We start from the raw sequence: 11,176 nt of genomic DNA, 5'->3' as shown, positions 1-11,176 counted from the left end.
TGTCCTTTAATGGATGAATGGCTAAAGAAACCATGGTACATCCATACCATGGAACACTATTCAGCAATGAAAAGGAATGAATTATAGCTCCACACAACAGCTTGGATGAATCTCTAGAGAATTATTCTCAGTGACAAAAGCCAGTCCTAAAAGGTTACAAACTACCTGATTCCATTTTTACAACATTCCTGAAATGACAAAATTATGAATATGGGTAATAGGTTAGTGTGGTTTCCAGAGATTAATGAGGAGAATGAGGGCAGAAGATGAAGTGGGCATAGCTATAAAAGGGCAACAAGAGGGACCTTGGTAGTGATGGAAATTTTCTGTATCTTGATTATATCAATGCCAATTTCCTACTTGTAATATTATACTGTATTTATGCAAGATGTTGCCATTGTGGAAACTGAGTAAAGAATACACAAGATTTATCTGTATAATCATGTGAATCTACAGGTATCTCAAAATAAAAAATGCAATTAAATAGAAGAAATAAATTAGTAAAACTGTCTGAAAAAAAATCACCATTTTTGTAAGTTGTAAATAAAATCTGGAACTATAATCCCAAATGATATCAACAATAGAGTGGGAAGGGGTCCTGGTTATTTATTGTTGTAATAAACTTCCTTGGAATTCAATGGTTTTTTAAAATGATCATTTTATTTTACTCAGGATTTTGTGATGGGAATTCAGGAAGGGCTTAGCTGGCAGATCCATGTCACATCATCTGGAGTAGATAGGACTGGAACACCCACTTCCAGATGGCTCCCGCCCTCATTTCTTATTTTTTTATGCTCCTTGGCTTCTTGCTGCACATGATGTCTCATCCCCAGGGCCTCTCCACAGAGTTAAGACTTCTCACAGCATGGTAGACCTAAAGAAACTGCACTTCTTCCACAGTAGCTAGCTTCATGGAGGCAGGAAGCAGAAGCTGCCAGATAGTTAAGGGCTATACTTGGAACAGACATGTATGTCACTTCTGCCATAGTCTATTGGTCAACGTTATCATTGCCCCTTCCCAGATTCAAGATGGTGGGAAAATGGACTCCAACTTGATGCAACGGGAGATAACCCTGTAGCAATCTCCGGGAAATAACATCTACTCCAGGGAATCTAGGGGAAGTAGAACAGATGGAAGCAGCTTCATTTGAGAGGAGAGTTCTTGTTGTTTAACTAATTTTTTAGGAGAAAAGGTTGATTTATGTGTTGATAATTTAAGGATAACCCTTAAAATAAAAGAATGAAAACTGTATAACTTTCACACCAGTATAGGAGAAAAAAACTGAACAAAGAAAACTTGATCCAACAGAAGGCAGAAAACAGAATAATGAGAAATAAGGAGACTGCATGGTAAATAAGAGAAAAAATAAATCCACATTTATCAGTAATCACAATAAGTCAAATAAAAGTTGAAGAATCTCAAATCTAGAGTTACGCTATTTACAAGAGACCCACTAAAACAAATATAATTCAGAAAGGCTGACAATTAAAAGAAAGAAAAGTATGTAGGCAAATTTACCAAAAGAAAATAATATACTTACTAACATCACAGAAGACAGAGATTAATGTGAAGACTATTTCAAAAGGCAAAATAGAACATTTCATACTGAGAAAGAACAAACTGACAGAAGATATGATATGAACCTGTATACCCTCATTTTGATCAGGATAGTCTATGTTGAATGACAAAAAATCCTAAAATTTCAGTGGTGCAACATAACAAAGGTTTATTTTTCATTCACATTACAAGTGCAAATTTGAGTTTGTGAGGAGCCCTACTCCAAAATTCACCCAGAGACTCCTGCTGATGGAGGGTCCTGCAGCTCTGCTTTCTGGGCCATGAGGCATCCTCAGTCAAGAGAAGTTGTTAGGGAGGGATCACATTCTAAAATACTTTGTCCCAAAAGTGGCACACATCACTTGACTCAGTCCATTGGCCAGAATTTGTAAAATGAACTTTCTTAATTGCCAGGGGGCCAGGAAAGTATGGCTCCATGGATGTTCGGTTAGCTGTAAATGTTTATGCCACAACCTCTAATGACATAGCCTATGAAGAAAAAATTACAAAGAATAAAGAGAAAAAAAATGAAACTCTACTAACATAGTGGAAGATTTCAGCACATTTTCTCAGTGACCAAGCTAAAAATAATTTTGTCTGAAATTATTCTATTAGAGAATAACTTATTTGAGTCTTAAACCCTTTGATTTCTAGTAATTTCCTATTAAAATCCATTTGGTCACCCAGGGTGAACAAATGGAAAAGACAGATATTATCAGAACCCTTTCAATCTGAAAGCAAGTCCCAGTAGGAATAGTTCATAGAATGGGAGGTACAGGTGGCATATAGAGTACTGGTAGGGGCCTGGCGAGTACGAGACAGACAGGGACAGGGCATAGAAAGAGGGAGAAGCACACTTTATAACTTTTGCCAAGGCCACCCAGCAGGAGATGGATGGAATATGAAAAAACAAGAAGTGCATTGGAGCAGAAGCATTAAGTTACATAATTAATACATATAGCTTATGCATAACTTATATAAAAACATATATAAGCCGCCTATATAACTGCTATATGCAGTTGTAACCTCGGCAACCACAATCAGAAAGAATCATTACCTTAGTGTGTAGGTAAGTGGATTTGAAAGAGTGAATTGCCAAGAAAACAAAATTCTTATATGTTTACTTGTTGCTGGAATGGGAGCAAAAAGCTCACATAAAATTAAAACCACCAATATTTACTTAATTATAAAGAAAAACATACAACCATACCAAATACTATAGCAAATAAATATTAGAGTATTTCTGCTGGGTGCAGCGGCACATGCCTGTAATACCAGCACTTTGAGAAGCCAATGAGGAAGAATTACTTGGGGTCAGGAGTTTTAGACCAGCCTGAGCATCTGAGCAACATAGTGAGACCCCATCTCTACAAAAAAAAAAAAGTTAAAAATTAACATCACCCTGTCTCTAAAACAACAACCCCAGCAGTTCAAGAATAGAGTACCTCTCATGAGTACCTTGTCTCACAGCATACATAAAACTTATATTTTGTTCTATTTCATTTAATCCCCATAACAACCTATGAGGCAGGTCAGGGAGGCATGTTTATTGTTTAGTTTGTTTATTTATTTCTGTAGCCTGTGTTGTTCCAGAAAGGATTTAAGAGTACTTGAAGAGATTAATAAACTAGAGCAAGATATCAGAATATAAGTAGAGAGTATACAAACAACAAACTACCTGAAAAAAAAAATTAAGAAAACAATCTCAAGGCAGGAGCGGTGGCTCACGCCTGTAATCTCAGCATGGACCTCCTTGGGAGGCCAAGGAGGAAGGATTGTTTGAGCCCGGGAGTTCAAGACCAGCCTGGGCAACACAGCAGAGTTCCAGGCTGTAGTGAGCTGTGATTGTGCCACTGCCCTCCACCCTGGGTGACAGAGCAAGACCTTGTCTCAAAAACAAGCAAAGAAACAAACAAACGAAGAAAACAAACTCATTTACAATGGCATCAAAGAGAATAAAATATTTAGGAATAGATTTAACCAATGGGGTGAAAGATCTGAACACAGACAACTACAAAACATTGATGAATGAAACTGAAGAAGACATAAGTAAATGGAAAGATATCCCATGTTCATGGATTGGAAGAATCAATTGTGTTACTATTTATCATTGTGAAAACTAAAAACAATCTACAGTCCAACAATAGCAGCTTTGTTACTATTACACATGCTGGCTTGCTTTCTTCCTCTCTTGCTTTTTTTTCCCCCCTCTCATCTTTCCTACCTTCCATCTGCTCTTTTTTGTTTGTTTACTTTAAGTTCTGGGATACATGTGCAGAACATGCAGGTTTGTTACGTAGGTATACATGTGCCATGGTTGTTTGCTGCACCCATCAACCTGTCATCTAGGTTTTAAGCCTCCCACGCTTTAGGTATTTCCCTTTTTTTTTTTTTTTTTTTAAAGCGACAGGGGTCTCACTATATTGCCTCGGACTGGTCTTGAACTCCTGAGCTCAAGCAATCCACCTGCCTTGGCCTCCCAAAGTGCTGGGATTACAGGCATGGGCCATCACACCCAGCTGCTCTTTCTTTCTTTCTTTCAACTCTAAGTGTATGTGGTTATCTCCAGGAGAAGATAGTGTGTTAGAAATTTCTATATACATTATGAGTTGCTAATTTTTTTACAATGAATGGACAGATTTTTATAATCAGCAAATGTATCAAAAATACTTCCATTTATTTTATTTTAAAAAGAGCATTCCTTATTGATTTATTTATTAAACAAGTAGTCATTGACGCCATGCCTTCTGTCAGTCTCCTTCCTGGATAATGAAGGGCAAGAAGAATATATGCTCAGAATCCAGAAAAAAATAAACAATTGTAATGTTAAATAACCTGGCTCAATTTGCACACATGCTAATAAATGATGCTTTGTGAATGAAACGTAAAATGTAATCAAAACTCCATGGATTTCTGAGGCCCTTCACCAGCTCAGGTCTTTATGGACATAATCTTCTAACCTTGCATTGACTTGGGTAAATAAAGGATTAGGGGAGGAGCAAAGAGAAAAGAATGATTCAGATTATCCTTTCTGTTGTCCAAGGGCCTAGCACCCAAGTTTCTGGTCTTAGATCAAGACAAGTTCATTTTTAGAGGCTGTAACAGTTTCCCAGGCTGAGGTAGAGGTGCTTACAGGCATATGTGATTGCTTTTATTGAGTGGGAAGAAGTCTCTTCTTCCTAGAAGATTTATTATTTTCTGGGCACAGTTAAGCCTACCTCACAGGGAGTACAAACATGTCTTACAAGCTTTTCATTCCTTTCCATGAACTCCATGAACTGACACATGGATTTTCACATCAAAGCACAGAATCATAAACGACTTATTCTAAAAAGGAAACTGAAGTCTTCCAGAACTTGCTAGCAGGGAATCTTTATTATGATGGAACCAGACCAAGATTGGCCATCCTCCCAAGGCATCAGGAAATGCTGGCCACACTGAACGGTGACATGGGAAAAGTCAGCTGGGGAGAGGAGGGGCTGCTCCATGGCTCAGGCAGGCCTGGCTTAAGGATTTTGAAAGGCATAAGCTCTGGTTTTTAAATTCAGATGACCTCTCTAGGTCAACCTCTCATTCAAGGCACAGTAATGCCTTTTCAGCAATTTCCCCCAAATTTAGAAGGTGGTGCTACACACAGAGAGAGCTTTGTTTTGCCTCCTTGTTTTTGTGGCATCAGCAGGACCTGTTTTCTTCTAGATACTAAATTGTTGCCATGTTGCTAATTACTATAATTTCTTACCCCCAACCAGCTTGCAGAGTTCAGAAAAATGTGCTGCTTGTTGCAGATTCCTGGATATGGAGGCTTAACAGAGCGTCATCTCAGACAGGCCTTTCTTCCTTATGTAAATCCCGTCATGACTTATTTGAAGGTGGCCTCACTTTAAGTACTAGGGACTTGCTCAGATACTTATCAAAATGCTCTAGATTCCTGCTCAACCAGCCAGACGCTGAGGCATCCCTGTGCCAGGCCCCAGGACTGACGTGCAGAAGTCAGAGGATGACCAGAAACCATTAACAGGTTCAGTATTGACTGAAGCTATTCCATTAGTTCATTGATCCAACTCATATTTAGTTGATGTTCACCGTGCCCATCTTACTGAGCATACAGGGAAAAAAAAATCAACATCTCCTGGAATCTGAAACATATGAAAATTGATAAGACTGGTATGCAAATATTTCCAGAACAGTTCAAAAAAGAATGTAGTAAGCTCTATAATGAAGTTAATTTTAAAATGTGAAAAGCAAACTCCCAGGACCCCGACTGCTTCCCTGATTACTCATCTCTGTGAATTTTATGTGTTTATTGCTTGTTGATTTGTTTACATGTGCATCTTCCCCATCACACATTCATGAGACAACTGCTTTATTCACTAACATACATGACACACACATTTACTAATTGAAGGAAAAGAGGGAGGGAATAGGGATAAAATAAAGAGAACAGCAGAAAAGAAGGCAGCACACAGAGAAGTTAAAATCTTTGTCTCTACAGATTGCCAAAATAAATCCCAACTCTGAGACATACAGCTGTGTGACCTCAGGCAAATTACTTAGCCTCCCTGTGCCTTTGTTTCTGCAACTTAAAATTGGGAAAAATAATAGTATCTACTTCATCGAGTTGAACAAAAAGAACTAAGAAAGTATTTGTGGCCTTAGAATAGTACCTGCATAAAATAAACCCTCAAAAAGTATTCATTAAATTTTAAAAATCATAAAGGAAGGAAATACTAGTTGGGGAAAATAAGGAAATGATTATCAGTGTGCTATTATTTTAGATCTTACTTGAAAGATTCATTGGAATTAAATAAATAGTGATGGTTGAAAAGGCCACTTAGAGTCAGTCAATTATAGGACGTAATTGAAAAATAACAAGCAGACAGAATGTCTACGAGGGAGTAGGAGATAGGCTTAGAAAGTCAGTTGCCATCGGGGGCATGACAAGTGTCCTGATAAGAGGAGGCAGAGGGAGATTTTAAACACAGAGAGGGCCATGTGAAGACAGAGCAGAGATGTGAAGATGCTGGCCTTGCCCATTCGAGTGATATGGCCACAGCAGGAAATGCTGGGAGCCAATGGAAGTGGGAAGAGGCTCCCTTAGAGCCTCCAGACGGACTGTGGCCCTGAGGACTCCTTGATTTCAGCTTCGTGATACTGATATAGGTCTTCTGGCCTCCAGAATTGTGAGAGAATACATTTCTATTGTTATAAGCCACTACATGTGTGCTAATTTGTTGCAGCAGCCACAGGAAACATATAGAGATAAAGGGAAAAAATAATAAGATAAAGAAGATGCCTTAGACGAATCAATGAATACAGACGGCGATGAGCTGAAACATAAACATCATTAAATTCTGCCACCTACAATCCTAAAAGAACAACAAAACAAACAAAAAATCTGTAATACCCACATAAAATGCCATTGTCAACTATATACCAAAGTTATTTAGACATTCCTCTGAAGACATACTTGGGTAATTTCAAATGTTGCCTTTAACACTTACTAAGCATAGTTAACTGGAACAGCTACATACCTTCTAGATTCTCACTTAGAGAAAAGACATAAGCAGACATGTCCCAAAAGAGGAAGTGCCACAGATTAGCAAACATGGGAAAAGATTCAGCCTCCAGGAAATACTGTTTAAAACAATAATGAAATTTCATTTCTTTGCCAATCAAAATAACAGTTTTTTTACTCTTTTTAAGTTTTTAAATTTTTAATACTATTTTTCAGCTTGTTTTTTCCCCACCTGGTAATTATCTTCTGTGAGAAAATATTTTAAATGGTCCATTTTCAAGGCATGATAAATCTAAGTACTGGCAGCCAGACTGCGGTTGTGATATACCGCACGGCTCATGCACCTAGAAGGTCACAATAAGCAAACAGAATGTAGAGGAGGGGGTCAGCCCATAAAAGGGAAGAAAGTTTCGTTATTGGGAAATCGAAACTTAAGAGGGGAAGGGGACTATAACCTTATAAGGGGAATAATGAAATATAGGCGATATCTGGGAAGATTATAACCCCATAGTACTCCACCAATGAGGAACTTGGGGAGGGACTTGTGTGCTGGGAGATAAATTATCTGCTGTAACTGCCCCGGGTGTGCCTGCCTACCAGACACCCAATCTTGCAAGACCACCATTAAAAGTCTCGCTTCCACTGTTCTTCATGTCTCTGCGCCCATTCTTTGACTTTGGACACTCAAATGTGTGTTTCTCACATCTTCCTAAACATGACTTTGAATGAAATGAATAAAATAAATACTGAAGACAGGTTAGTGAAGTCAGTAGTAGCCTATATTGCTGGTTTAGCAGATGACAGTGGCTGTGTCCTTTGAGGAAGAATTTGGCAATGTGGGTAAAAAGCCTTTCAAAGACTTTGACCTTCAGCAAATTCACTTCAATTTTATGTCTACAAATGCTTTTTAAGGTCGTAATCCTAGATGAGGAAGCACAATGTTCATCAAAGAACTAAAATACAAAAAATTAAACACAATGTAATAACTTAGAATAGGAGTCAGCAAACTATAGCCAGTGGGTCAGACCTGGCCCATTGCTTGTTTTTGTAAATAAAGTTCTACTGGAAGACAGCCATGCTTATTTGTTTACATATTATCTATGGCTGCTTTTGTGGTACTATGGCAGGGCCGAGTACAGACAATCCCCAACACTTAAAGATGGTTTGTCTCACAATTTTTTAACTTTATGATGGATCAAAAGTGCTACACATTCAGTAGAAAGTGGTATGATACTCTTGTGATCCTAGTCGGCAACAGTGAGCCACAGCTCCCAGTAAGCCTCACGATCAGGAGGAAACAACCCATACTTTACTGTGCACTGTGTTGCCGAATGATTTTGCCCAACTGTAAGCTAATGTAAGTGTTCTGAGCGCGTTTAAAGTAGGGTACGCTAAGCCACGATTTTTAGTAGGTTAGACATATTAAATGCATTTTCAACTTATGATATTTTCAACTTACGATGGGTTTATCGGGACATAACCCCATCGTAAGTCAAGGAGGATTGGTAGTTGTGAAAGATATATGGCCCACAAAGTCTAGAATGTTTACTATTTGGCCCTTTACAGAAGTTGTTTCCTGACTCCTAGTTTAGAACATGGCTATTGTTCTAATAATAACAGTAAGCTGTGGCCCATGTTCTCCCTAGACTACTTTGCTGCCATTGAAAAAAGTTCTGGGGAGTTTGAAAAATTGGACAAATGTTTCATGCTATGGGAAAATAAGAGAATATTTCAGGATCTGAGAGAATTTGGGAAAAAAAGGAAACTAAGAGAATTGTAGAGACTAGATAGTTGCAATTCTGTGAAGAAAAACATTTAAAAGGGGACTGGAGGGAAGTATAACAAAACGTCGACATCCTTTATCTTCCAGTGATAAAGAATACATGTGACTTTCATTTTGTCTTCTTTCTACTTTTCTGCTTTTCTTCAATTTACATTAACAAACATATTTTACTTTAAACTGTAAAAAATAAATATCAATTTTCAAAATTGAAACAGAAAATTTTAAATGAGCTTCCAGTGCACCCAGGTTTCACACACGGTTGGATTGAGTGTTTGATTCTGTGTCATAATACAGTGTCTTCACCAAGCACTTCCAGCTACCTAAAGAGAGCTCCCACTGCTAGAGTTAGAGATTTTGTTTCCATTCAGGTTTATATGGTAGGAGGGATTTTTCTCCCATTTCACCTTCTTCTTGTGAAAGGACACACCTGCTTTATTTCCAGGTTCTGTCTTGTTCTTAAAAAAAAAAAAAAAAAGAAAAGAAAACATGAAAAGAATTCTTGATAAGGCAAAGAAAAGAAGAAACATCTAGAGTTGTGCTAAGGTGTGGTTAATCGTACCAATAGCAGATCTGGACCTCAAAGGTCCTTTTTGCTTCACTCCTTTTTTATCTAGATGTGAATTGAAGCCACTTTCAAGGGAATACCAGATGAGCTGAAATAAATGAATGACAAACTGGGTCAGCCAGGAAGAAGCAGAAGTCAGACCTTGAGGGTAGACAGGAGAGAAAATACGGGGAAACAGCCGTGGACAACTCCTTCCTTCCTTCTGAAGTGGACTCTGTGTGCACTAAAGCTGCCGGAGGAGAAAGGCAAAAGCCTGGTTTTCATCATCCTCTGGTGGTATGTGTCTGAACTTAGTTCAGTAACAAAAGTGGAACTTTTGTAATGGGCTCCCCATCCGCCAAAATGTTAAGGGCTTAGCTAAAGGATTATGTTTAATTCAAAACCGTCAAGCATTAAGAGTAAGACACAAGTCAGAACAAAGTCAAACCAAAAAGGTGAGGTCAGCCAGAGTAACTTCACTTCTCATAATCACTTCCTATTATTTTCAAGGCCTGGAAAACTTGCAGCATTAAACTTTCTGAACTGCTGCGGGAATGCAATTGTTGCTTCCCAGCATCTCCTCATTCTTTGGGGGATAAAGGGTAAGAGCTGCTGATTTTGCTCCAATTAGACACAATTCACTCCAAATCACCAGGCAACCCTCAGCTTCCATTACAATGCCTGTTCAACCTGCATGTGCAAAGACTCATTAAAACCGAGTGAAAACCAGACAGCTGTAGGATTGACTACATGGAAGAAAATCCATTCATCATTGACTAATTTGGCATCTATTAATCACATCTCATTTCTCAGCCCTATGAAGAAATTAAATCTAATTCCCTTTTTTGGAATCAACAGCCACAACTAAAAGCATGGCCAGTTTTCACTACATCTCTATTCCTTCCAGAAAAAATTCTCCCAACTACAAAGTAGGGTCTAAAAAGGAAGCCTGACCTGGAGGGACTCAATTCATTCATTCAACAAATACGTGTCGGACGCCTCCTATGTGCCAGGCACTATTCTAGATTTGGGGACAGAGTAGCAGAAGAAACACAGATGAAGATCCTCACTCTGGAGATTAGATCCAAGCAGAGGGGAGAACAGGATTGTGTAGTAAAAATAATGTTGGAAGGTAAAAAGTGATATGGGGCAGGGAGAAAGAATAGGAGAGGTTAAGGGGGATTGAGAGTGGGTGTATGAAAACTCTGCATTGTTAACTAGAATCGTTAAGATAGGCCCTATTGAATAGGTAAGCAAAGACTTGAAGAAGATGAGGGAGTTAGGAAAGTAGTAGCCCTCCAGCTAAGGGCTAATATCAGTTCAGATGTTTCCCCTAGGACCTCTATGACAAAGCAATGAGGGTGCAATAAAGTTTGGCTTCTTGTCCCAAAAACTAATTGGGAAACCGTTTCAAGCTCATAGGGAAAATAATTACTACAATGCAGGCTCCACAAAAGCAGGGGCTCCTCTTCTTCATCACTGTGTCCCTAGGGCCTGGTACATAGAAAGACCCCAATTAGTCTTTGTTGAATGACTAAGTGATCGTATGCTATACATGAATAAAGCACAATTCAAGATGGACAATGGCAGGAAAGACACTGGAGCAATACCCTACATAGGTTGTGTTGACTTCCTTGGCTGACCTCACCTTCCTGCTCTGTTCCATAGATCAGGATGCCCAGTGTAGAACTGCAAATTGCAGGAAAGCATTTGGGAAAACTTTTCCTGGTGGCACCTATTCTATCCACCTCAGGGGTGACAGGAGTTCTGATCTTT

The sequence above is a fragment of the Homo sapiens genome, chromosome 4 (genome assembly GCF_000001405.40).
Source record: "Homo sapiens chromosome 4, GRCh38.p14 Primary Assembly".
NCBI classification, from domain to species: domain Eukaryota; kingdom Metazoa; phylum Chordata; class Mammalia; order Primates; family Hominidae; genus Homo; species Homo sapiens.
The sequence above is the reverse complement of the archived record's forward strand: the minus strand, read 5'-3'. Positions refer to the sequence as shown.